Source organism: Homo sapiens, chromosome 12, assembly GCF_000001405.40.
Source record: "Homo sapiens chromosome 12, GRCh38.p14 Primary Assembly".
NCBI lineage: Eukaryota > Metazoa > Chordata > Mammalia > Primates > Hominidae > Homo > Homo sapiens.
This window is the reverse complement of record NC_000012.12, coordinates 11,731,004-11,758,624: the sequence shown is the minus strand read 5'-3', so window position 1 is coordinate 11,758,624 and position 27,621 is coordinate 11,731,004. Positions and strand designations below refer to the sequence as shown.

The window sequence follows — 27,621 nt, the reverse complement described above, 5'->3', positions numbered from 1 at the left end:
AGAACGGGAAGAAAGTTCCAGACTGAGGGAGAGACATGTGGGTAGGAAAAGGTCCTGGGATGGAGTGCCCTAGAGCAAAACTGAGCCCCTGGAAATCACAGGGGATCGTTTGAAAGCAAAGCTTATTTCCATTGTGACTTAGGAAGATTAGTCTCAATAATACACAGACAGAACCCTAGGTCCTTTCTTTAATGAAACACACAGACAACGACATGTCTGCTTCCCTTGGCTCCTGCATGGGGAAGCCACCTCCTCAACAGGCTATTCACCATAACCGGAAACAGAAATGGAGCTTTGGTGAGCTACCTGGCCACTGCAGGCCAGGCACTATGCCAGGTGCTATACATAAATGAGCTCTGATACTTCTAAGAAGCCCTCATTAGTAGGTGTCGTTAGAAACTTGAGTCTTAGAGAGGTTAAATCATCTCTCTAATAGAGCCAACCCTGAAATTCAAGTCCATTCACGTCTATCCAGACCCAAGCCCTTTCTATTACCATGGTTTTTTATTTGGAGACTTCCAAAAGCAGTGAGACCCTGCTCCTAGAAGGGCACCCCTAGCAAAATGCTGGGGAATTGGGTACTGGATTGAGCCCACTCTCAGAGCTGGCCCATCAGGGCCTACAGGACCAGCCCTGGCATTCTGGTTGTAGGGAGAAATTCAACTCTAACCTGAGCTCGCAAGAGAACAAACGGGGAGGCAGCAGGACTGGTGAACAAAACCAGAATAAACCATCCACAGGGACAGGCTGTTATCCTGATTCCTCTCCCTCATCCTACTACGAGGGAGAAGCCAGTCTGCTGAGGATTCAGCACAACTTCATGATCAGGTGGCATCACTAGAACCACACCGGTCCCAGTCCCTGCACCTGTGGCTGCCCAGACTTCAGCGGTCAGCAGTGCCTCTACTTTCAAGTCCATGAAACTCTTTATGTCATTATGTTTTCTCCTAAAAAAGCTGAAAGGTGGTTTCAAGAAGTAGAAATCACATTCGGCCTTTCACATGCTGTGTGAACCTGGACAATCCAGTTGACCTATCGGAGACACGGTCAGCTCATCAAACAGAATCAATAGCACCTGCTTCAAGGACTGCTGTACAATTAAGTGAGACAATAAGTATGAGCGCATCTTGTTATGTATAAAAATATAAAATAATAATGATGATCACGTTCAGCTCCCAATTTTGCCTCTTTTTTTTTGGGAACAAACATAATGTGAAAGCATATAAAATTGTTGCTCTACCCAATTAGAAAAGAGAGGCACTGCATCCCTTCTCACTATGCTGGTTCTAATATAGCTGTGCCTGTCACGTGGCTGTCTTAAACTCAGTTACTCTGCTGAGAAGGCAAAACAGCCGAGTGGGTGAGCAGCGAGGTAATGTTTCCAAAGGAAGGCATTAAATTAAATTATTAAACACACACAAGCAGGAGTAGTAATGTAAGAATTTTGAAAGATTCACAAGGAAAGGAAAGAGAGCCAAGGGACTATTTCTGGTGTTCTGACTCCAGAAAACGCCGAGCGGCTATTATGGCTATTTATTAACCTGCAACATCATAAACCCTAACCCTATTAAATATGATGAATGAGTCCTACGTTCCGATTTTTAAATATAATTCACAGGGATTTTAGAAGGCCAAATGGACACTGCAAAATGCACAGTCTGCGGGCAAATGGCGCAATGTCAACTAAATGTGAAATGATCATGTTTAAAAGAAATTTAAAATAACGACATTTAATTATTTAAATTCTGCCCCATCAATCTGAACTATACTTATATTGTTATCCTAAGGCGGGGCCTGAGCATCACTGTCTGAGGCCCAGTGTTTCATAAGGTAAGCCTCTGCCAATGAGCAGGCTGGCAGCACCTCGTGAGGTGCTGTAACTGCCCCCTTCAGCAGCCACTCCCCCATGAGTTTAGAAAAAGGGCGGCCTTTGGGTAGACAAATCAGAAAACATCCCTCCCTTGCGAGACTACAAGTCCCCTGGTGAGAACTGGGCAAAGGTATCCTTTGCTCCCAGCAACAGCCCTTCTCTGCGTAGAGTCAAGAGTGACCTTGCCTGGGCACCCTTGGGGGTCCTTGGTCTTTCAAGTGTTTTCAAGCTACAATGAAAAGCTTATGTTCCTTTAAAGAATGCAACTTTTTTTTTCCCACCTGTCTACTGTAATTGTACTTCGGCTCTTCTACCCTCAAGCTTCAAAAAAAATTCAGTACCCTTTATGGAAGAAGAGGAAGAAGAAGAAAAAATGATGCCCTTTCTATCCTCTCAACAAACATACTTGTGTTTGCTCTCCCGGTAAGCAGAGGGGTTCTGCTGTAGGACTGTTGAAGGGCACTGTCCTGGTAATCTGGGCAGTGAGTCAGAGCAGGATGGCACGGTCTGGCCTTTCTTCCCTGGGCTCTCCTCTTGCACTCTGCCCAGGCTTCTTTGCCAGTCCTTTTCAAGTCCTCTCTAATCAGCACTTAACACTTTACTCCATTTATCACTTTGCTTTTATCACTGGCAAATAAAAGGAAAAGGCATCACTCTCTACTTCTCAATAACTTGCTAATTTGTCATGCTGTGTCTTCAGTTTGGGTATAGCTCTGTGTTTGCAGAATAAAATGGTGAGAAACTCTCTGTATGAGAACCTTAAATAATATGATCTCTGCTCCTCTTTACCCCCATCCACAAGAATATAAGTTGATTTAAGAATGAAAGAAGAGAAAGGAAGAATTAAGGGAGAGGATTTATCTGGTAATCAATGGAAAATGGTGAAAAGAACCCACTTTGAGGCATACCAATCTGATGAGTATCTCTTTAAAATAAGCAGCTACAAGTGCCTTGGACTTAGCAATACCATAAATGTCCCGCTGTTGTCTTGGCTTTGAGATTCTTCCCCGTACTTTCCATGAGCATTCCACTGGGAATTGTCTGGAATCCCAGATTAAAACAGCAATAACCCAATTCCCTGGTTAGAATATTTATTTTCTTTTAGGTTTGGAAACTCAGCTGGGATGCATCTTTAAGTGTGTGGCACAGCTTCAGTCATCGTAGGGGCTATATGCTCCTCTCAAACAGGATGACAAGCAGCAGAACCCTGAAACGGGAGCGGGAGGACAGAAGCTCAGCCTCATTTGGAAAGTCCCAGCTGAGGGCAAACAGCAAGAGCCTGGGAACCTCCACTTCCAGAGGATTCAATACAGATGTCAGAACCAATGGTGTCACAATAGGTCTCATGCAGACTACCAAGGAGAGGTATATAAAGTTAGACTGCCATAGAGTAGGCATTCAGGCAAAATCATTACCATAATCTGAATCCATAGTCTAACTACTGATGAAATGGAAAGGTTTCCGGGAATGTGCTGCAGTTCTATATTTTATAGCTGTCTACGTGGGGACCCATCCATCCTTCGAAGGGTGATATGCAAGCCATTCAACAACAGATAGAACAGACAGAACAGCAATTAGAATAGATTCCAGCCATAAACCAATGCTACGGCCACACCAGTGAACACTGGCTAAGTGTCAACCCTGAATTCATCCATCCATCCATCCATCCAATAAATATTTACTAAACACACACTTTTTGGTGGTATAGTGGATATAAGATCCTAGGCTCTGGAGTCAGCCAGAACTGAGTTTGAGCCTTGACTCTATCTCTTACTGGTTCTGTGATCGACCTTGAAAAATTACTTAAATTGTCTAAGCCCTTATGTGTGACATGGAGATAGAAAGAAGACCTACCTGACAGGTATTGTGAGAATGAATTAAAAGAATTCCTGTAAAGGACTTCACACAGTGCCTGCTACAGGGTAATCCCGTGATAAATATTAGCTATTATGGTTGTGTGCTAGGCACACAGAAGGCACTACCAAAATGCTGGTAAGCAGCACAGACACGGCTCAATAAGGAAACTGTCTACTCAAGAAAAAATTCAAGTGTTAGTATGGAAGAAACAATTCAAAGCAAGGAGAATGATGCCTCAGATGAGAATCATAGTACTTTAAAGTTAGGAAGGCTGTTAAACATTTTCTTGTCAACACACAGTATTGTATGCTAGGAGAACTGAGTTAAATTACCCACAGTCGAACAGCAGAACTAGCTAAAAGTTAAGATCTCCTGACCTCCAGTTCAGTGTGTTTGTTTGCTTTCTTATTTGTTTTGTCAGGATAACATCTCGTGGAAGATAGTTAAGGAGCTTCCATATGTCAAGGCATCCAGAAGTGAACCAGGAGCGAGGGCCTCCTTGGGGGATGTTGCAATCTATAGGAATAAAACGTTATGAAAGAAATCTCAGCCTGTTTGTGATGAGTGTTTGATACTTTTTTTTTCTCTGTGCTAGAATTTAAGTTCCACAAGAGCAGGGGAGTTTTTTCTGCTTTGTTCATTTCTGCACCCCCAGGACACAGAAGAGTGCCGGGCACAGCAGAGGCAATCAATAACTATTTGTGAGATGAATAAATGAATGAATTAGGTAGCAGAAGTGTTCTGCCTGTGTGGCATGAGTATGTTCCATCCTGAGGCGAATATTTCTGAAGTGAATATATCGGTCACAGGATGACTTCTGGAGGAAAATTTCCTATCACTTGGCTGCTGTTTCTTTTCCAGTTGTGTCTGCTCCCATGGTGCCACAACATTCCAGTTTCCTAAGAACACTGATGTTCCCAGCCATGACCCTGGCACCTTTACAGTTCGAACCTCCTTAAAAGTAGAGGAAAAGATGGTAGAGTAGGGCTGTGTCCTTTACTTCCCTGCCCAAATGAAGCAGAAATGTCTTGACCATAGTAGGCAGCAACTTCGTAAATACTGATGGACGCAGCAAGCTGCAGGAGGGAAAGGATTCTCATGCCTCCAACTCCTCACAAACATCCCAGCAACCGTCTGCCCTCTGGGGCAGAAGGCATAAGCCGGCGGCAGTGTTCCCCCAGGAGCCCCCATATCACAGTCATCTGATTCCCTGAATTACCAGAGAGAGAAAGGAAGAACCTGCATCCTCTGTCTCCTGTTCTCTGCATTCAGAAAGCAACCTTCTGAGGAGGGTGGAACAGGAGGAGAAGAACTGGAGAGCATCACCCTGCTGGAGAGAGATGGTGAGCAAGACTGTGCCACCATTTAAGTCACTGGAAGGGCCAAGGTGACCTCAAGTGTCCTCTATAAGCTAGTCTTGTGCCCTCAGGATAACATTCAAGGCAGAGAAGCTGGCATTTTCTTGGACACTGTGAAGAGGGTGGGAATCAGGTGATTCAGTCTCTCCAGCTGCCCCAATCCTGTTTTATCACCTGAGCTGGGTGGCAGTATGAGAAAGGCAGACAAAAAGGACACAGCAGGTGTCAACGGCTTTGGAGGCCAGTATCAGCAGCACAGGTGTGTGGGCCCCAAACCTCTGCCAAGTTGCAGCTGAGGACTGAGACGGGGAAGTGGTAGGCCAAGGGGTAGAGATGATTTGGGAGAGAAAGGTGGAACCACTACAGACTGCAGCTGCTGAGGCAAAGCAAGCACAAGAGAAGCAAGAGAGAGTGGAGGTGAAGGAAAGAGGAGGCAAGAGAGAGGACCTATGCAGGCCTAGAAAACGAAGGGAAGAAAAGTAGCCAGCACAGACAGGGAGGGGAGGGAGGGCCCTGGAAAGAAAGGACGAGCGCACAGCTTAAAAACAAAGCAGAAGTGAGTCTGACTCACAAACTGAGCAAAATTTAGGACCAAAGAAAATATTAAAGTTGAGTAAGCGTGAATTTGAGAATACAGATAAACTTTGCACACACACAGAAATCATCTTGTCTACTAGGAGATTTAGTTGGCTCTGCCATATACTGCATGTTTCCAGGTTTCTTTTTTTTTTAACATGTCATAGTCAGGGAAGAAATGAATACACTGAGAAACAAGGAACAGGAACCTCAAATTTTTCAAAGGTATCTGGGGGTAGGGGGGTGTGAAAGATTCCAAAGCAGCGTGGCGAAGTCCTGTGAAAACCACCTCAGAGCTTGCCCCTCTCTGGCCTGGAGCCCACTGCCTGCCACCCCCGCCCCACGCCATCAATCCTCTGTCCCTCTCGGGTCACGAACACTCACGCAGGTGCGCAGGCAGGCGGATCGAGTCTTCCTCCATCCTGAGCGCTCGAGGCACTGGAACATGAAGTGGCGTCGAGGAAGCGTAACTCGGCACTGGGCTCTCTGGAGGTGTATATGAAATTCGTTCCTGCTGTTAAAAATAAGGGCAGGAAGAGGGGAGGGGGAGAGAGACAATGAAAGCTTGGAATGGAGGTATGAGACCATCTCGGGGTGGGGAGCAAAAGGGAGGCGGGGCATGGGCAGTACCAGCTTCCCAAGCAATCCGGCTTACTCTCTCCGTAGAGACACTGTATACAGTTGTCTTTCAGATGCCTAGCCTTGGGGCTATATAACAAAACTCTGCCATCGTTGAAAACAGCCTTTACTTTGGACTCATGTCAATAGGTGTACACCCTGTGGTTTGTACAAGTAAAAAGGAGGGACAAAAGGGAACAAAAAAAATACGTCCGCGAGAATGGCTTAAAGACAACTTTTTAAAAAATGACTTGCCCAAGTCACATAATTAATGCCATCACTATATTAAAGCCATGTTTTCTCTTCTGTAGCAATATCCCCAGCTTCTAATCAAAGTATGATTCTAGATTCACTTCCATAGTGAGCTGATCAAGTAAAGTGACAGCTTCAAAGATAAGTTCTAGATTTAGAACTTCAATCCACAAGGAAGATTTTTCTATTGTCCACCTATCTCACTATACAACCACCACAACCAAAAATATCCAACGTCTAATTTTTTCCTTCATTGCTAGGAATTATCTGCAACAATAATGAATATCTCCTTGTTCTTTTACTCTCCATCTCAGAATCGATATTTCCTTTCCCTCTGAAGTATTTCATAGTTCATTCAAAGAATTATCTGAATTTAAAAGAAGTACTGTTTGACCCCTTATCAAGTATCAAAGGGTGGGGTGGGAGAGCTTCCATGGATCCTCCATTTGAATTCAAACAAGCAGTGTTTGTTAGATCAATTAAAACAAACTAGATGGGGTGAGAAGGATTACCGTGAGTTTTAAGTTAAAATACCGCAAATAATGGCAAGAAACCGACTGTTGGGTTCGGCAAAACAGCAGTGCAATTTGTAGCTTAGATCAACATGCCAACTAGGTTGACTTGCAGTCCACATGTAAACATGACTTCAGGAGTGTCTGTGGTTTAACTGGGCAATGTAAAATGGAACACACAACATCCAAAAATATGGTGGAAAGGAAAGACCAGTAAGATGCCACTATGAAAATAAAACTCAAGAGCAAAAGAAAATCGTACATTTAAGTAAAGGGAAGGCAGTGTTTACGTTTTGGAAAGATAGTTCTTTAACATTTTACATCTCATCAAATGTGCAAAGGGAAGCGGCGGAGTCCTCGGCCTATAACCAAATTAAAGCTTCTCCTCTGCTCATAGCCTAGAAAGTCTGGCAGTTGTGGTAGGAAGTTTTGATTTTAAATGAATATATACATATTGTTATAATTTCCGAATGGAATTGCTATACCTTCCCTAAGGCACCCACCAGAAGCAAGTAGGGCAGTTGGAATATTTCTGTTTAAACATACATCCTGAGGTTTCTTGGTGAATTTCTTAATGAAGGGCAGGCACATATATCCCAGGTTTCATTTCTGGGTCAATTAAGATGTCCTGTAAAAAGTCACCCAGAGGCAAAACTTTCAACTGCACTTTTCTTGAACTTTAGCAGGCATCACATGTATTTTGAGAAACTTTAACTTGAAGGATGGGTTATACTTTTTGGTGTTTGGTTTGGGATGAAAAAAGCAAAAAAAAAAAAAAAAAAAAAAAAAGCCCACACATATAGGAAACATAAAATCTGTTCAGAGGTTTTTAAAGGTGAGGTGGGCTTCTGAGCATTTCAAACAGTCTGTTTTTAGAATTTAACAAATTCTCCATACTCTTCAACTCTTGTCTGACACCCCCCAAATCCCACTATATGTCTAGATATCTACCGTTAACTTTATTCTCGGAAATAGCTTTCTGTTTTGTTAGGGTTTTTGCAGAAGTGAAACTTGGTGAAGAAAACATCGGGCAGCCAAAGGGTCTTCAAATGGTGCTTCATGAGTGCAAGAAAAAAACAAGACAGCATTTCGAAATTCAATGACTCTTCTTTCCCTTGAAGCAAAGAGAAACTCACAAGACACTCTGGCTAGTCCATGAGAGTGAGGCCGCCTCATCCCCGCCTGCCCCAACTCCACCAAGGCAAGCTGGGAGAAACCCGGCCCTCCATGCTGACTGGACTTCATTTCTTAGGAACTCCATCCCCAGCCAGCTGACAAAAGAGTCTGGCTAGCTATTACCCTGAAAGTGTATATACTGTAATTTACTAAATTATCATTGCTTTGGACCTTCCTTTCAACTGTGCTCTCTTTAAAAGTAACCCCTTGGTGTGCTTTCACTTCTACATGGTTCCCTGACCTTACGGTGAAACACCACACTTCTGCACCTGCTCTGGGATCTGACGCCATCCCCCGCAAACCCCGTCCAAACAATTTTAGATGGAGACAACTGCTATTTCATGATGAAAACTTATAAAAGGAAGGCCAGAGATGAAGAGACTGTGGCCCACTGATCTCCTCACATTCCTGATGATGGTTTCTACTCAGCTGGAGGACAGTTTTCCACACCATAAGCTCTTTTTCAAAGGCTCAATGAAGAGACTTGTCAGCAACAAGAGAGGTTACCTTGACCAAGACGGACAAATGCACAATGTGCTTCTAGGGCCCCGAGCACTCTTCTAGTAGCCATGGCACACCTAAGGTAACTCTGGGCTTGGTGGCTGCAGAGCACTTGGGGACCCCAAAAGGATGCTGTACAGTGAGTGGGCTCTGTTCCAAGGAGAACAAAACACACTCTTGGGAATCCCACACTACAGAGACTCCTTTTGTCTCTCTTTTTGTGAATCTCTAGGTTGACTCTCACAGTGCTCATTTTTCACTCTATTGCAATAACCTCGCACTTAACATCTACCCTGGCACATCAGCAGACTATCAGCAATTGGAAAAATTAACCAAATACCACTATCTCAGATGGAGACATCTAGACAGAGAAGTTTAAGGACACTAACGTCTAATTTCCCAAATAAAGGGAACCTCTTTACTCTCACAACTGCTTCTCTGGTGCGACCCCAACAAAGGAGGGGGTGGTGGTGAGAGTCCCACCTCTAAAGCAAATTGTCAGACAGATGAAAACCAGAGCTGCTTTCTTTCTTTTAACATTATGGGGAGTAGGGGTGTGTGTGTGTGTGTGTGTGTGTGTGTGTGTGTGTGTGTGTGTGTGTGTGTGTGTGTGTGTATGGGGGGGATAACGATTTTCCCAAGAGGATTATAACCGCTGCTCTAATTAAATTAAAATGCTACAGACAGTGATATTAATGTATTCAAGTGTTGTAGGGGGATAAACTGCTGGTGGAGGTCAATGATGTGACTCAGAATGCCGTGATGTGGTTACATTATTGTTTAGATGCTGTAAAAAATAAAACACGCTGCTCTCAAATTTGCAGATACAACCTATCAAGCCAACCAGCTGAACAAAAGGGAAGCACTGCAATTTCTGAGGCCAATTGTAATACCTATGAGCAGGTTGTCAAGGAGGCGGCACAAAGCGCTGGGAAGAGAAAATAAGGCAGAAAACTGTTGTAGGCAAGAGTTGAAATGTAAATTTCACCAACCATTATAGAAAGCTTTAAAAAAAATAATGAAGTATGGAGTAGGGTTGTCTCTTGAAAGCGTAAGGACTGAAGCCAAAATGAGCTGCGTTCCCTCTCCCATTTCTCCCCTAGCCATGAAGGGCCAATGAAGGGTACCCATCTAATTCTGCTCATTTTTAAACTGAATGCTTAGGAGCCCGTGACTTCCCTGTAAAATAGGTGTATACAGTCTGTGCTCAGTAGGAGAATGGCATTTCTCCACGTTCCCCCACACCCACCCTCAGGTTGCATATTACAGAAGAGTCAAAAAATGAATATTATTACCAAAAGGTCTTTCCTCTTCAAAATTATTCAATATAAAGCTTCCATAAATCACGGGGATCCCCTAGCACATTTACACATTTATTATTATACCCTCTGAAAAGGCTGAGGGGTTGGGAAACTTAGAGCCTACTGCTAACTAAATATTAACATTCTGGAAATAAAGCATTTTTGGAATTAATTAAAACAGAAATAAAGTTGGTTGTGCTTGCAAAAAGATGGTTTGCAGGTAATTTCAAAGATTTCTCTGCTGCAGAACTGAGATGTCCTTGATATAGAAACTTTTCCTGGAAATTGTCCCTATCCCCATTATAAATGCCAGGACTGCCCCCAGTGATGGCTTCTGAAGCCTAGTTTGAAAGTCCTGAGGAGGAAGAGTGTCATGGACACAGGATAGTGGTCATTTCCCCACAGCTAGGGTAAAAATGCCACAGGCATGCTTTCATCCCATTGCACTTCGGTGTCCCATCACTGTGAAGAAACCTGCAACCCAGATAAGATGGAAAACAGCAGGCACCAGTGACAAGAGTGGTCATGCCAGCAATATTCAGTATTTTGAGAGAAGGATCTCTTTTCCACCCTGCAGGTGTTTAGAAAAGCTGCCTGAGAAAGCTGATGCTTGTACCGTCGTCAACTTCTACAGATTCAACAGAAGAAACCTCTCCTATGGGAAGCTATTTATTGAAATTTATTAAAGTGAAGTCTGAATACACAAGTATTTAAGTACACTCTTCTGGCTGCAAAAATTTCAAGTGGTGGTGATGTTGGCTTTCATTAAGTAAGCTTTTATTAACAAGCTATAGACACATTAACAAAAAATTGAATACGCTGAAATTTGAGCTCTAGAGTTTTCTAGGTTTCTGCCACCAGGAAAGCACAGATATACACAAGAACCTAAAGTAATACACTCTTGAAAGTCGACATTTTTTTCACTTGAAAAAAGCTATTGAATATTTTGTCCACTCCAAAATTCAGTGAGACAAACGTAAAGAATTTGAGAGAAGATGCAAATGCCAGTCTTCTTTTCTAAATAGACATTGTACACACAGCCACAGAGAGTAACATTTTTGGAATCTCCCCAGAAAGAAAGAGCATACCCTAGCATCTCGGCTAGAAAGAACACCACAGAGACTCAAATGCAAATTTTGATGTAGCAAAATCCACATCCACCAAATCACAGAAGTGAAGTTCATGATTTCTTTTCATCCAGAGAGTTACCAGAAGATGGTTTAGACATCCAAGATGGTATAGGGGCCCAAGCTGGCTTTCTTCTTGGTGTCCAGTGTCCCCCCTGCCCTGAAAGCAACATCCCTCTGGATGCTAAGCCATTAATTTTTACAAGCCAAATGGTGTTTGGGTCTCAACATTCATCTTGCAGAATACATATCAGTACTTCCAAGGGGAAAAAAATGAGTGTACCCTGTGAAAATGAGGATGGGTAGGAACTATACTCCTAGCATCTGAAGTCTCCTCTCTAGGTTACCCAGATGGCCCACTCAGCCCTTGGGGAGAGGGTACGCCAGACAAACCAAACTCAATGTTGCTGTGGGGATCTTCCAAGGAGCCCGCTTCACCAGTCTTAAGGAGTGCCCTTTCTCTAGTTTATGTAGATGGTTCAGGACGTGAGATATTCGGATTCCTGTTTAGAACTGAAATTGTCCCTTTCTTCTGCCTTTCTGGATGGTTACATCCTAAAATCAGAAGGCAGTATATTGCTTCTGTCAAGCAGATACAATTAAGTCAAAGCATCTTAAGTCTTCCTCTTACCCAGACCTGTATTATCTTTGCATAGTGAGATTAAAAAAAAAAAAAAAAAAAAAAAGAGAGAGAGAGAGCATTAGCAATAAGCCCTGCAATCAAACATCTCTGTAAAAGGTCATTGAGTTTTTTTTCTCCCTATGATTAAGAAATATTTCAGCATCCATCAAGGGTCAACTATGAGGCTAGGCCTATAGCAGGCATTACAAATTATGCAATCATACATCCTAGAATTTCCAGGATGGTCTCAATATTTAAAGTTCCGTGTCCTTTTACCCATAAATACATATGGGTAGTTGTATATAAATACTTAACACCTCTCAGAACACGTGTCACAATTGTAGCTGGAAAATACAGTCACTGCCACAATCAGGAAAGAGAGCTAGCATTAAGTGAGCATGTGGTATGTGTTCCCATGAAGCCTTTATTTTATTTCAGCCTCACAATGACCCTGCAAGGAAGGCATCGTTATCTCCATTCCGCAATGAGGAAACTGACTTGAAAACCGCAGTTCCAGTCACTAGCTTGGGAGATGGTGTGGCTGGTATTTGCGTGCAGACTGATCTAACTTTACTTCTCTGAACTGCTTTATAATGCCAACCAGTCAACAATGACTTCACAATGGGGAATTCCAAGAGACAGGTTCAAGCTTGTAAAAATCATAGCAGCCTTCGAATATTTCGTTGCTCTGCATCCTCACTCCTCACAGAATTCCAGCAGGATTCTTGAGGGTGACTCAACAGAGCTGCCTAAGCCAAGGCACCTACCTTCTTATGCATGTTGCTTATCCTATGGGTAGCACAGACTGAGGGGTAAATGCATTCAGCTGACGGAAGGGGACTCTATCTGATGTATGAGAAAAGTTCTCATGGCATGACCCCTGAGCAGGAGTAGCCATTCGAATTTATCCAGGGATCTACATTAACCATGGGACACAATCAGTAGGACCAAGAGGGCATTTCCAGGTTGCTTATGCAAATGATAACTTGGCCGTGGCTAGAAATCTCACTGGGCATTTTTGAGTACAAACATATTACTTTCTATCCTAACATTGTCTTTAACAACAACGGAAGACATTTCCCTTGTTCTTATCTGCTTACCCAAGAGCAGCAAATCTAAAAGTACAGGTGAGATAAATAGAAGCAGTAAGGAGGAAAGAAGCCTGCCAACATCTATTTGGTGCCTATAGTGGGCAGATCTCTACACCAAGAAGGAGCTGAGTCTGCCCCCAGAAATCACAGTGGCCGCAGTCCAAGCAAGACCTCTCCAATGGCCCAAAGATGCACATTCCCAAGAGGGGAATGGATGAAGGCATTAAGGATATATGTGGCCTGTGGGGGAAAAAAGATTTAAAATCTTCTCGGAGATGTCTTCAAATATAGGAAGGACAAGTCTAAGAGAGACTCAAGGCTTGCTTGTAGTAGCAGAGGACAGAGCCAGCAACAGATACCGATGCACTAGAAGGAAGGCCTTTCAAACAGCTGAAGTCTCCAGATAAATGGGCGATTTACTGTTCTCCTAAAGCTGACTTAATGCTGAGGCTGAACAGTTACTCTAAAACACGTGCTTGCACTGGGAAGGAGCTGGAGTAGGAGAACTTAAAGGTTCCGTATAACTGCAAGATGCTGGTTCTATACAATCTTATCTCCCCTGGTAAGTTAGAGCTTATAAATTACAGTGTGGGTAGAACAGCTCCAAATAAAACACGGACACCACAGTCCCCTTCTTTATCAATTACTCCCCTATGCCTCCTCACAGGATCCTAGGGTTCTACTGAATATAATTAGAAAAAGCACTAGTTTCTAGAATTAGGAGCAATTTCTTTAAAGACAAGCACCAAAGCAAAAAACTTAAATCGACTTCTTTATTGTTCCCATTTTAAAACATTTTAATTAAGATACTTTCCATTCTTGACATGCCATGAAATTCTCTCTTTTTTTTTTTTCCTGAATTTCCTTAGATATTTCTAACATGGATAGTAAGCGGAAAGTAAAACTGTGATTCCTTGTCACGTCAGGCTGTGGTTACCAGGGAGGTCTATGAAGGTGGCCCAGTTCATGTGGCTGGAACCCAGTGTGGATGTACACGCAGGCAAAGTTACAAGCTTTGAACCTGCATGGGAAAATTTAAATCACACCATTCTGCAGCCCCAGGCTATACCTCTAATCCCTGCCATGATATAGAGGATTGCCTTTGCTCAAAGCAGAGATTAGATGAGCTCAGCAACACACATCACCACTCCTGGAAACGCCATAAAAGTGCATGTCCTACTAACAGCAGGTCAGCAGCATCAATTCAGCATAAGAAAGGTGGTGTGACTTTATTTATACAGAACCATCAGACGTCACCTCTGGGGAAGAAATAAAGTCTTGCTGTTGAATTTATCCAGCAATGCCTCTAAGCTTGTGATCCACCTTTTGAAAGAGGGTCACTAAATCCTTTCTTCCTAGTTCTAACAGCAGAAGAAACAGGTACTGAAATTAACAGCAGCTTGTATCCTGGGCACAACAAAGTGGCCAAGTTCAGCTCTTTATTAGCTGCTTTCTCCTCCATTAATGCTATTCCCTTTAATGGTCTGGCTATTATAATTAGCCAATCTGCGTTGTCCCTGCCTGGGGCTAACAAGTAATGAACTGAGACAGTTGCTATTTAGTTGTATCAAGGGCACCATTAGACAGCGCTTCTCAATCTCCCCCCAAATGAGAGATACCTTCCAGGCATGTACTATTGCCACGTGACTGTTCTTGTACGTTCCCTCACAGTGGACCTGGGGTGGGAGCTTCCCCAGGTTTTAACTCATGAGACTTAAAACCTGGGCAGAAGGAAAGGATGAAAGCAAGGCTCCTGCAGACACTGGCAGCCCAAAGGGCTTGGAACCTGAGCCTTAACTATTAACTCCTCCCTCCCTTCACCTGCATTCTTTGCCTCTTCGTAAACCCTTCGCCTCCTCCTCAAGTAGCTTTCTTCTTTGTGCCACAGCATCACTGAGGGCTTTGCTCTTTTTTGTGTCCTTCTTTAACGGCTATATCCTGGAAGTCTTGTAAAAGGAAGAGAAAGAAAAGCGACGGCTCAGACTCACAACCCCAGCGAGCTGCAACTCAGACCTCCTTCAAAACTAGAAAGATGTTTTGCCCTGTGATTTATCTTTTCGAAATGTCTAGAGCTTAAATGGACCACACATGCCTAATAAGAAACTTGAGGTTTTAAAGATGTGACATGAGAGCCAGGGGAGAAGATTTATATTCTCATTCAAATGAGGAGAGTGTGGAGAACCGCTGAATAATGCCCTGTACTTGATACTACCCCACTGCTGGCCCAGGCTCTAGGCAGCCCCAGCAAAGCTGTTTGTATGAAGACACACCAGGCTCTAAGGGATACCCCAACCCTCACCCCCATCTGTAAGGAAGAAGGCTGGGTTACAACCAGGACCACAGTCAAACTGAAGAAATTCCCTCGCTCTACATATATCACATAATTCCTGGGTCACTTCAGGCTCCGAAATAAACAGAAATAGGAAAAGCCTCATGAATTCTACCTACAGTAACAAGCGCAAATGAGTCTGGAAAAGATTTATATCTCTGGAAAATGTTTACTACCAAAATAATTTTCAACAAAACCAAACAATACTGTACTTAAAAAGCAACGTAAAAGAAATGAGTCAATGTCTCCTCAGTGTTGCTGTGTGAGAGATTCGGATAACAATACCCAGCCTTTGTCGTCACACGGTATTATCTCAAAGATAAAAGAGGTCTGGCGCAGTGGCTCACACCTGTAATCCCAATACTTTGGGAGGCCAGGGCAAGAGGATCCCTCGAGCTCAGTAGTTCGAGACCAGCCTGGGCAACATGGCGAAACCCCGTCTCTACAAAAAATATGAAAAATTAGCCAGGCATGGTGGCATGTGCCTGTGGTTCCAGCTACTTGGGAGGCTGAGGTGGAAGGATCACTTGAGCCCAGGAGGTTGAGGCTACAGTGAGCTGTGATTGTGCTACTGCACTCCAGCCAGGGCGACAGAGCAAGATGCTGTCTCCAAAAAAAAAAAAAAAAAAGAAAGAAAGAAAAGAAAAATGAGATGAAGCTTATAAAATATTTTGATCTTCTTGCAACAAAGGTTCTCTACTAATGCAAGGTGTTATTATGATGAAGAATTTGAGAAATCCCAAATTAAACATTACTTTTTTATGTAAGCCTTAAGAATTAAACTTGTCTTTATGTTGTAAAATGGGAAACTAACTTAATTCAAAAGAAGACTGAAGATTGACAGTAACTGGGGAAGGAGGCAGAATTTATCCTCTTCCTTTTATAACTCGAAAAAGTAACATACAAACAATCTTATATACTGATTAGGAGTGTTACACACCTGTGTTTCCTTTAAAAAAATTTTTTCCAGAAGTCATAATCACCTTGGCAAGTAATTTCTACCTATACTTGTCAAATATCATAGAAATTTCCTGATTCTTAGGAATAGGGACTCAGAAAAGGCATCATTCCCTTCATTGTGGTCATGGGTAGAAAGTCTGGGGAGTTTTGTTTCTGACAACTAATTACTAAAGCAAGTTCTACTGACAAGGTGACTACTACCCTGCAAATGCCACCAGCATTAATACCATTCTAAAAAGTAAATGAATGAGAATGGAATACAGAAGTGTGTGTGCATGACAACAGTGATTAACGGAATATTAAGCAGCTTGAAATAAGAAGGAAACTCTTGTAGCCCTGTAGTTAAGACCAATTAACAGTTTATTTTACATAAGATTCTGTGCCTTCATTAAAACTATTAGTGTGCAACAGTACATAGAAAATATGCACTCAAGATCAGCTAACAATTCAGGAAACATTTTAAATCAGGCATTCTGGCTATTATCTGTGTATTAGAATCACCTGGAGAAACTTTAAAACACAATCCCAATAGCCAAGTAAATCTCCAGGGATGGGAGCCAGGCATGAACGCTGTTAAAGCTCCCAGGTGATTGCAATATGCAGAGCTAAAGTTGCGAATCACTGTCTTAAATCAAGACATAAATAAGCAGAATAAATCAAGACATATGTTAAAGGATTCTCTTTCACAATAGGTTTTAGAAACCTTATTAATCAATTTGCTAATTGTCCTTCCCTCCTGAGTAAATTATCACTGTCCTACCTTTAACCATAAAATAGAGATTATTTGTGTAATACAGGAAGTTCCTGAATGATGACTACCTGACCTACATATGAACAACTGCTCCAAGCAGTGCCTGAGCCATGGTTGTTATTTTCTCCCTATTGCCTCTGCAGCTCCCCCCATGTCCACCCCAAGGAAGGCTTCTCAGCTTCACTTTCCGGAGCTCCACACGGAGCAGTGTCCTGAGCACTGGCTGCACTTGTGTGTGGCAGGAGCAAGACAAGGTTAATAAAAAACAAGGAAGAGGAAAGGAAAACCCACCCCACTTTTGGCCTGCATTCCCTTCCCTCTCTCGCATCCAAAAGGCTGTGTCTGTCCATCTTCATGTGATCAAGCTCCAGACCACTTTCTCATGCTGGAGAATGGAGAGATTGGAGATTGGGGAACCACTGTTCCCTGGGTGAGGGGAATGATCCCACATGATGGCTGTCAAGGTTGCTACAGAGATGCACCTGTGCCATTTTAAAGGGGCCAGTGGGACACATTTTTTTCCTTACAGTAACCTTGCTACTTACCATGGTTCGGTCTTTATTTTTGCACACTGCACTATCAACTCATTATAATCTGAAGAAATGCCTTGAACTCCAAGCAGCTGACTAGTTAGTAAAATCTTAGAACCCTAAACAACTAGAAACCTTGAGCCTACTAAGGCTTTTCCAAGATAAAAGCCCTTCAATTACATGCTGCTATATCCTCCTAATACACCCACGAGTCATGTCACTAGAACTAGCACAAAACCTACCTCACAGATGTAGAAATTGAGGTTGAAGGGCTAAGAAGATCCCTGAATGAACCACATAACTGCTCTGGATGGGGCTAGCAGTCCTAAACCCAATGTTGTCTTCTTTCTCTAGAGTATACCCTCTGCCTATAGTATTTTAAAAACTCTTGGCCATCATGATAAAGTCTACGTACAAAGTGGTTCTGAAGGGTAAAAGTAGTTTACTCAAGAACCCGGCGTATTTATTTACTCCTTCCTTAATAAATTTTTTTTTAAAAGCCTCTGGAAATTTAAGTTCTTCCTGTAAAAAAAATTCTCAACAGTTTCTGAGCATCTTGATATTATTAGTAGTATTCTATCTATCCTTCCTTTAGACAAAATGCAATTCTAAACAGTGATAGAATTAGGAGAACAGTGGCATGAATATGGCTTTAATATCTGAAATTCACTGGGTTGTTCAAACTACTAGAGTGGGTAGTAATTCTCTTTGCATCTTTAGAAAGCAACTTGCAAACCAAGCTGTGAAAGCGTGCTACAGCATCAAGTCTTACTAGGGGCTTCAACAACGGTTCCAACATGTAGCTGCCAACAACTGAAATCTATAAATAGGAAAATCTGGAAAGTTTAACAAAAAAGTTGAAGGAGGGACTCTGAAAATCACTTGGAGCTTATAGGGTTGAAACAAGAGCTAGACGAGCACTAATATTTCCTTTCATGCAGTGGAATTCCCCTTTGGTTGTATTACTTTATATTCCTTGCCACAAGGAAATGAAATCTACACTGACGATTACGGAGATTTCTGCCTGGCGTAAAGGTACAAGGACCCAGCAGGCACAAATTCGTACTACGCACGAATGTAGTTTTTTGTTCCCATGAGAATCAGTGGTTTCTGAGTGGGTGAAAATGCATTTTAAAATCATTCTGATTAACAGAGGTAAAGCTGTCCTCTCAATTAACTTACTCTTATTAAAACCTATTTTCCAACCCTCAATTGTCATAAACCCATCCACATAAAGCAACTTGTTAACACAACGGGAAAAATTATGACTCTAACTTTTGAAGTCCAGCAACTTTCCCTAGAAAGTCCAATAATGCTTCTGATGGATCCCGTAAGGCACTGTCTAGACTCGCACTGTCCCACAGAAATATAAGGGGAGCCCCATAGGTAATTTAACATTTTCTGGTAGCTACATGAAAAACAAGAGATGGGTAAAATGCATCTAAATAACATAGGACACCTAACTCAATGTGGCCAAAATATTCTTTCAATGTATAGTCAATACAGATAATTACTGAGGTATTTTATGTTTTTTTCATACTAAGTCTTCGAAATCTGGTGTCTAGTTTCCATTAGAGCACATTTCAAATCCGACACTAAATTTTTGCTGGAAATACTTGATCTGTATTTAGAGTTCATAAAATTCACAGTTGAAAAGGTAAATTCACATATCCAAGCTATTCCAAACACACTTAAATAGGTTTTTAACAACTGAACTGTGTTTTTTAATTAAAATTGAATAAATTAAGAATCCCATCTCTCTGCTGCACTCACCATCCCCAGTGCCAGTGGCGAGCATGTGCACTGCAGGTTGGATACCTGGGCAGCACCTCACAGGGATGAGTGGGGGCCACGCACTATTCCCCATCCTTTCAGAAACATCATAAACTCTGGAGAGATGATGACAGAAGTTGACCCCTGTTCCTTTTCCTTCTTTTCCCCAACAGCAATAGTCATCAGAGTCCCTCATACTAGAGGCCCCTTACAGAGGACACAGGGCATGAAGGTGTTTTCCTGCCCTCTGTCCTCAGAGACCATGAGCCCCTTAGCACTCAGCAGAAAGAAGACAGTGGAGTTTAGGCTCCATCAAATTAAGTCTTCTCTGTCTCTCTCTCTCTTTTTTTAAAAATTACCTAACAAATTTCCCTAGAAGCTGAAAAACAAGTTGGTTCAGGACGCCACTTTGCAAAGTTTCAGCTCTCCTCCCCAACACAAATCATCACTATGCAGTGCAACCTCTCCTCATCTGGGTCAATCCTGAACTTGGCCATAACACTTCGGAGACACCTAAAAAACGTTGCGCAGCCACAACTCTTAGAGCTCGGGGCACTCTTTTGGATATGACTTGTTTCTACCATCTTGAGTTTGAACCGTAAAACAGGTTTAAACTTCTCCAAAGAATCATTTGCACCCCTCAGAAGAAAGATGAGTCTCTAACTAGGAGAAAATAGAATTAAAATGGAAGTTCTTTACAAAGTGAAATACCTGACTCGAAGTTCCTAGAGAGCATGTCTGTGCCTGGGGTGTCGTCATTTGCTGGCCTGACTCCCAGGCTGTAGGTAAAGCAGCTGTGGAAAAGTGGCACAGGGCAGAGGCGCAGTGGGTCACACTTGTAATCTCAGCACTTTGGGAGGCAGAGGCAGGAGGATCACTTGAGCCCAGGAGTTTGAGATGAGTCTGGGCAACAGGGCAAAACCGTCTCCATTAAAAAAAATTAAAAATTAGTCGGGCATGGTGGTACATTCCAGCTACTTGGGAGGCTGAGGTGGGAGGATCACTTGAGCCCAAGAAGTGCAAGGCTGGTGAGCCATGACTGCGCCACTGCACTCCAGCCTGGCTGACTGAGCAAGACCCTGTCTCAAATTTAAAAAAAAAAAAAAAAAAAAAGCAAAAACAAACAAAAAACAGAGAGAGAGAGAAAGAGAAAGAGAGAGGAAGGAAGGAGGGAAGGAGGGAAGGAGGGAGGGAGGGAAGGAAGGAAGGAAGGAAGGAGAAAGCAAGCAAGCAAGCAAGCAAGCAAGCAAACTAGCAGAGCAGCATAGGCTTTCTATGCTGTGACTGATGTTGCACCGGAAGGAATCCTTCTTAAAACGAAGAATGCTACATGGTAAGATACACCCAAGACACCACCATATAAACAACCTCTTACCGAGACTAACCTTACAGTTTAATGCAACTTGCATTCATTCTATCTCCAATTCTAGCCATCGTTATTGGCTTTCCTCCCCTTCCCTGCAAGGCTAAAAAATAACAAAAGTCTAAGCCTGAACAAACACACTCATTTACTTCCTCCACATTTATGCTTCCCCCTAAAACTACAAAAAAAGTGGGCAGGGGCAGATCTGAGTCTCAGTCTCCTTGGCTATGAGATGGAGAAAACTGCGTTGACTGACTGATGAGGCCCTGAGAAAATCAGTTGAGTTAAAATACATGAAAAAGGCCATACAAACCATGATGCATTATTCTCACACCATGGCTTCCATTTCTTTCTGACCTAGGTTCAAAGACCGATGCTGCTTCCCTCATCCACTTCTTCCATCAAGTGCCTAAAAAATTAATATGCATTGTCTCACCATAAGACAACATTTTACATATATTAGAGCACCAGGAGATAGAAGACAAGTAGTTATTTTCCTCGGTTCAGACTAGAAAAATAAATCAATCTAATTTTCAGAGGCTTGCCTCTAACGTGTCTCATCTACATGACAGGGCAAATACTGATAGAATAAAAATCTCCATATGACCCTGAATTATCCTACAACCTCAACAAAAATCCCACTTGTTTCAAAACACTGTTAATAAACACTTTTTAGTTGCATAAACGTGTTGAGAACACCTCTTAGAACTGCGTGCAGAGTCTAAATTCAGTGCCTTACACAGGTCCCTCCCCATCCATGGACTCAGCTGCAGGTGCCCCTATTCAGGACTCCCTGTCCTGACTGTTGTAGAGTTCCAGGCCAAGTCACCCCAGCCCATGCTGGCCTGAACTCCTCAGCAAATCCTTCCCTTCAGTCTGGATCTAGGTCTTGTTCTTCACAATCCCTTGTTTCTTAATTGATGGTTCACTGGAGCTTGGACTTTGATTTCCACGACTGTGGGCCTACTGTACCTTCATCCACCTCTCAGACCCCCAAACCACACAGGAGCCCCAGGCCCTCCCACACACCCAGGGGGGAAGGTTATCATCAAAACTCTGCAGGCACAGGGACCTTGTCTGCCTTGTTCACTGCCATATCCCTTACAACTAGAACAGAGCTTGCACTGGACACTCGTGAAGTATTTACCAAATGAATGAATGAGCCTCATTAGATGAGCTCAAAGTATTTCTAGTGCCAACACAAATTCATCTTTTGTCCTGTGTTTCCACCTAGGGCCATCTACTGACTTACTGATGAAGTTTGAAGTCTAACTGTCTACATAAAAATCTTGCTACAAGCTGCCAGCCCTGCCCCATCTCCTCTCCAGTAGATGCGCTCACCGCCCTATCACCCAGTTCTGTGACTTGTGTTTAAGCCTTATTCCAGTATGTTCCAAGTTCCTGGAACACCTTACCTACTATGATCCCATCCCATCAAGTCTGTTCCCTCTCGAAATAGATACTTTACAATGTATTTATACTTATTCCAAAAAAGCAGCACCATTCCTCAAAAATACTTTAGAAACACCTCTTTCAGATCTTTCAGAACCAGTTATAGATAACAGTATATTGCCGTTTCTTGTACCTGATCAAAAACAATATCAAGTATACCTGGACAGACTTGACACCAAATGTCACCTATCTCTTAAAATTTAAATCCCATCTCAAGGATCAAAGTTGTTCATTGCTCTAATTATCTATGTAATGTTTCTCTCCCAGTTAGACTAAAAAAGGGGACACAGACTATGTTTGTGTGTGTTTTTTAAGACTGCCCTGCTCCAAGAACAGTGCCTGATACACTGTAGATACTCAACAATTGTCTGGTGAATGAATGATCTGAAGACCTTTGTAAAAGATTTTTCTTTCATTCAGCAAATATGTGCCTGGCACTGCTAAGGGCTGAGAATATGGAAATGAGTGAGAAAAGAAAATCTCTATCTTCTTTAAGGAGCTTATAGGCTAGAGGGAAAAAAAACTTACTTAAGGGAAAAGGAAAAGAAACTATCATTTATTGTCAACTACTATGTGACAGGCACATACACTGTTTCATTTAAACTTCCCAGCAATCAAAATAAGGGCGACATTTAAATTCTCATTTTAAAGACTAAAAACTTGGGATTCAGCAATGTTATACAACTTGCATAATAAGCGACGAGCTGGCCGGGCGCGATGGTTCACGCCTGTAATCCCCGCACTTTGGGAGGCCAAGGCGGGTGGATCACCTGAGGTCAGGAGTTCGAGACCAGTCTGGGCAACATGGTGAAACCCCGTTTCTACTAAAAATACCAAAAATTAGCCAGGCGTACTGGCGGGCGCCTGTAATCCCAGCTACTCAAGAGGCTGAGACGAGAATCGCTTGAACCCGGGAGGCGGAGGTTGTGGCGAGCCGAGATTGTGCCATTGCACTCCAGCCTGGGCAACAAGAGTGAAACTCCATCTCAAAAAAATAAAAAATCATCATCATCATCATCATCGTAAGTGACAAGCCAGGCCTGGAACCCAGAGCCTACTGATAGCAAAGTCTAGGTCTTTTCTTTGATCACGCCAAGCAAGGGCTGTTCAATTAAGTAGTTTGTTTATTAGGGTGACAACTTTTCAAACTCCAAAACAGACAACACTTACGTGGATGTTTGCTCTTCAGCCTCACCCCATACTATTCAATAAATCACCCTAGGTGCCACCCACTGATCTCACCACTAATCTCACCAAAGACCAACTCCCATAACCGTAACTCGCAGAGACATCAAGAAGCCAAAGGCTTATACAATTGGGGGTCTGTGACCCTATTCTATCCTGGGAGGTACTTTCAGCAGAAGTGGCCATGTGAATGTTGGTGGGTCTACTACAGACACGTATAGTGGGGTGGGTGGGTTAAGCAGCAGGTAAACCCTGGTACACAGGGAAGTGAAGAAATAGGAGGCTTGGAAGCAGGACCTAGTATTAGTAAAAAAAAAAAAAAAAAAAAAAAAAAGGCCACCTTGCCACCTTTGCACCTTTGGGACACATGCCATAAATTACGAAGACATTTTGCCCATTAATAAGTAGAAGATGAAGAACAGAGCCTTTCAAGTTTCACTTCCATGACACTTTAGAGACGAAAGGTTTCATATTGTTATCACAAAAGACCATTAGGGACCACGTTTTCCTTTTCCTTAGATGTCTTCATTCAGTTCTAAAAATATTTTTGAGCAGTATAGCATAGTGGTTAAGAGCTACGGCTTGGAAGCATCCAGGCTTACTTTGCCTCTTGGCTCTAGCACTTACTGTGTGACTTCATAGAAGTTACTTAAACACCCCAAGCCTAAGTTTCCTCATCTATAAAATGGAGTAATAGCAACACCGGCCCTACTGCATAAGATTCTGAGGATTAGAGGAGATAATGCCCTACAATTTTGCATAGTGCCTGGAGCATAAAAAGCTTAATAAACATCAATGACAAAAGTACTTGTACCAGCACTGTGATAAATCCACATACCTATGTATAGACATACAGATATGGTAATTTCTTCTTCTTCTTTTTTTTTTTTTCTTTTTTTTTTTTGCTCATCTCAGCCCCCCAGGTAGCTGGGACCACAGGTGAGCACCACCACACACAGCTAATTTTTATATTTTTTGTAGAGACGAGGTTTCGTCATGTTGCCCAGGCTGGTCTCGAACTCCTGAGCTCAAGCAATCCACCCATCTTGGCCTCCCGAAGTGTGGGGATTACAGGCATGAACCACTGCGCCCAGTTCAGATGTGGTCATTTCCGAGATGGCTCAGCAGCGCCACCTGTGCTAGGCTCAAGCTATCACCTAATTACATAGGGGACTATATGATAAAAGATACGATGTTCATGTACAACTATTATCTACTATGGAGTTTATATCACTTTCAAGTGCCTCTGCAAACTGTTTTTTAGCAGGGAGAAAATAAGAATAAAAATGGGAAAATGGAAATCCAAAGATCTGATTCCTTTAAAGATGCTGCAATAGAAGTAGCCACTGCCAGGTCTGCATCTCCTGGTGCAATCAGATAATCCATCTATCTAGATTGGATAGATACTTGAGGAGGAATAATTCAAGGTAATTTCCGTTACACCACTATCCATGTTTTCTCAAGGGAAAAACATGTATTTGCTTCTTTTGATTAACATGTTAGTGGCTGCAACTAAAACATCAAGTGGTCGGCCGAGCAGAGGTTTTCCTGCTGGTTTTACAAAATCAGTACAGCGGGCCACCTCTCAGCATCAGCTTCGCCTGGATTTACAAGTAAACTCTTCAGTATGGCTGAACAGGGTATGTGGGTGTGTGTATATTGGTAGCTGTATGGAAACTGGATTGCTCTAATAATAAACACATTTCATTCCCTGCATTGAGGGTGCTGGATCCTTGCTAAAGATCCTTTTTTCCACTTAGTTCCATAAATATTCCGGGGAAGCATGGCCTAGTGTGAGTTGTCAGAATGAGAACCTGTTGTGATATTTCATCAGCACCCACTCACAGTGCACTTACTCTCCTTTACCTGTAACTTACACCTTCTCTGTACCCTCTGGAATTAAACCGAAGAGAAAGGATGAAAACAAGATGATATGTCAGAAAACACGGTGCGGGGGCTTGAAGGGCTAAGAAGAATGAAGTGGTTAATTTTTTTTTTTTTTTTTTTTTTTTTGAGATGGAGTCTCGCTCTGTCTCCCAGGCTGCACTGCAGTGGTGCGATCTCGGCTCACTGCAAGCTCTGCCTCCCGGATTCACGCCATTCTCCTGCCTCAGCCTCCCGAGCAGCTGGGACTACAGGCACCTGCCACCATGCCTGGCTAAATTTTTGTATTTTTAGTAGAGACAGGGTTTCACTGTGTTAACCAGGATAGTCTCAATCTCCTGACCTCATGATCCGCCTGCTTTGGCCTCCCAAAGTGCTGCAATTACAGGCGTGAGCCACTGCGCCCAGCCCAAAGTGGTTAATATTAATATGCTGAGTACCTTCCATGTGCCAGACACATAAGATACTGTATGTTTCTATTTCATCAATGGAGAAACAGAGTCTGAGTGGGGTTAAAGAACGGGCTTCCCAATGTCACACAGTGGTGCTAGAATTTGAAGCAAAGTACGTCAGATTCTAAAGCCACAATCTTTCTACACTTTCACCCCAAAATGAGGAGTAAGAATGAAAGTGACACTGTGGATTTAAGGAAGATAATAGAAAGTCTATTAGAAATATATATTTTTTGAAACTTGTATCATTTAACATAATGATTACAGAGCTGGAATTGGGCAATTGAAATGGAGAAGAGCATCTTCTGACATCCAGGGTCATGTGTTCAGGCTCAGGGACAGGGTGCTTTCAGAACAAGGGTTGTTCTTGGTCCTCTAGAGGCAGAAGGAGGACGGGGTGGTCTGTGTGTCGGATGTGGCCAAGCTGGAGCACCAAGGAAGCCCCCAGCCCTGACAAAGCAGCACATTCAAACGACACAGTGCACGATGGCAGAAAAAGATGGGGTGGGATACAATGGGGGGAAACTCCCCAAGTCGGTGAAAAGGTTTGTACTTGAAGGACAACGTCCTTCTCCAGAGTAGAGCTTACTAAAGGAGATGCATCCCATTTTCTTTTTGAACCTCTCCTGCTTTCTACTTCCAGCTTCTTTCCTCCTGGTAAGTTTGGGCAGGAAGGGGCCTTAGAAATTGAGACCAGCATCCTCATTTTTCAGATGAAAAACCTGAGATCAACAGAAATATTTGAGATCACACTTCTTGTTTCGGAAATCAGGTAGTTAGCAGTTCTTGTTTTCGTTTTTCACCATATAGTGCAGTAAAGGGGAAAAGGGTAGACAAAAAAACAAGAAACCAGAAATATTACTTTGCAGAGACATTTCCACGTACCTCGAACTGCACTAGTTCTGCGACTGTGTGCTCAGTGTTGTCTTCTACCAGGTGATGCTAAAGATTTGCACTGAGCCATGCACACACTGCTGTCTAGGTCAATTCTTAAGGTAGCTGCCTAGATTTAAGGTAAGGACTGCAGGGTGGAACATCTTCTCTTTATGCAGAGCTACCTGAACTGGTCGCCTTCTTGGGTGACCCAACCATGCTGGTTTGTCTGGGACTGAAGGGGTTCCGGGGATGTGGGGTTTTCAGTACTAAAACTGAAATCCCAGGGAAACTGGGACAAGCCGGTTACCCTACTGCCTTCAGTAGGATCACATTTTCAACTGAGCTAATACATACAGACAGACAAAATGCATTTAGCTGGAAGTTTTAGCTGGTAGAATACCAGCTAAATGGTAGTTAACATTTTAATTTTTTAAGAAAATTAGCAAGATGCAAATTAATGACTATGAAGGGCTTTGAGCCCTTGGGGAGGAAGGTATTCTCAAAGTAGGAAGTGTTAAGTTCATAAAAGAAACAATATGAGAAGGCAGTGGGGCTTTTTCATACCTAACAAGTATGACTAAACCTGTAAACACTTCCTGTTCCGTCCCATGTTTTTCTGAAATTCGCTTTTCCTTAAAGGCCAATAAGACAGAAGAAAAAAAATTATTCTTTCTCTTCTCTTCTTAAGAATAACAGTGGGAAATTTCAAACCTCCAAAGACGTCTAAAAGTTTAATAAGCTCTTGCTTTTATATATAAATATTAAGGAGAAACAAACAACACTCACTTTTCTCCATAAGCATCCTGCATTCTTACTACATGAAATTTTGAGTACGTAGAAAACCATCTGATCAGGGAAGACAAATACTCACACTTAAGTAGCACTGACTTACTCCTCCACCTAGTTATATTTTCAATACAAAAATTTTTGCTTTAATTAAACACTGTGTTAGGTGCTGACAATGCAACACCGAATAAGAAGGACATACCTTTATTTCATACATCACAGTATCCTAAAGATCAAAACCTGCCTTTCTAGACTTAGTCATGACTCTTCTTATTGCAGTGGAGAAAGAGGGCTGCCCCTAACAGCAAAGCTCACACTTAAAATCATTTCTCCCCAGCAGCACTTCCCATTCACAAAGAGCAGTGCTACAAAAGGCAGCCTCACTTTCACCTGTTCTGGGTCACCAACTACACTGGAGG

General features: G+C 42.6%; 1 protein-coding gene across 12 annotated transcripts in view, besides 6 other annotated features; it reads right to left on the bottom strand.

The window, feature by feature from the left end:
- ETV6 (ETS variant transcription factor 6) overlaps window positions 1-27,621 on the bottom strand; it is a 245,704-nt gene that overhangs the window by 136,753 nt on the left and 81,330 nt on the right. For 5 of the 12 annotated variants that reach the window (NM_001987.5, NM_001413917.1, XM_017018990.2 and 2 more), the window contains exon 2: window positions 6,046-6,175. The exons of 1 other annotated variant lie outside the window; for it this stretch is intronic. In NM_001987.5, coding sequence (NP_001978.1) covers window positions 6,046-6,175 — 130 coding nt within the window. Of the gene's footprint in view, window positions 1-6,045; window positions 6,176-14,682; window positions 26,263-27,621 lie in introns of those variants that run through there. 6 more of the 12 variants (XM_017018991.2, XM_047428503.1, XM_047428504.1 and 3 more) reach the window with 4 other exon arrangements.
- Window positions 4,997-5,046: an enhancer, noted in NCBI's record as "active region_5985". NCBI's record gives its function as "activates an Ori minimal core promoter by ATAC-STARR-seq in GM12878 lymphoblastoid cells {active_cell/tissue: GM12878}" and the evidence as "EXISTENCE:reporter gene assay evidence [ECO:0000049][PMID:35858748]".
- Window positions 5,357-5,446: an enhancer, noted in NCBI's record as "active region_5984". NCBI's record gives its function as "activates an Ori minimal core promoter by ATAC-STARR-seq in GM12878 lymphoblastoid cells {active_cell/tissue: GM12878}" and the evidence as "EXISTENCE:reporter gene assay evidence [ECO:0000049][PMID:35858748]".
- Window positions 8,295-8,344: an enhancer, noted in NCBI's record as "active region_5983". NCBI's record gives its function as "activates an Ori minimal core promoter by ATAC-STARR-seq in GM12878 lymphoblastoid cells {active_cell/tissue: GM12878}" and the evidence as "EXISTENCE:reporter gene assay evidence [ECO:0000049][PMID:35858748]".
- Window positions 12,394-12,613: an enhancer, noted in NCBI's record as "active region_5982". NCBI's record gives its function as "activates an Ori minimal core promoter by ATAC-STARR-seq in GM12878 lymphoblastoid cells {active_cell/tissue: GM12878}" and the evidence as "EXISTENCE:reporter gene assay evidence [ECO:0000049][PMID:35858748]".
- Window positions 15,118-15,167: an enhancer, noted in NCBI's record as "active region_5981". NCBI's record gives its function as "activates an Ori minimal core promoter by ATAC-STARR-seq in GM12878 lymphoblastoid cells {active_cell/tissue: GM12878}" and the evidence as "EXISTENCE:reporter gene assay evidence [ECO:0000049][PMID:35858748]".
- Window positions 24,384-24,433: an enhancer, noted in NCBI's record as "active region_5980". NCBI's record gives its function as "activates an Ori minimal core promoter by ATAC-STARR-seq in GM12878 lymphoblastoid cells {active_cell/tissue: GM12878}" and the evidence as "EXISTENCE:reporter gene assay evidence [ECO:0000049][PMID:35858748]".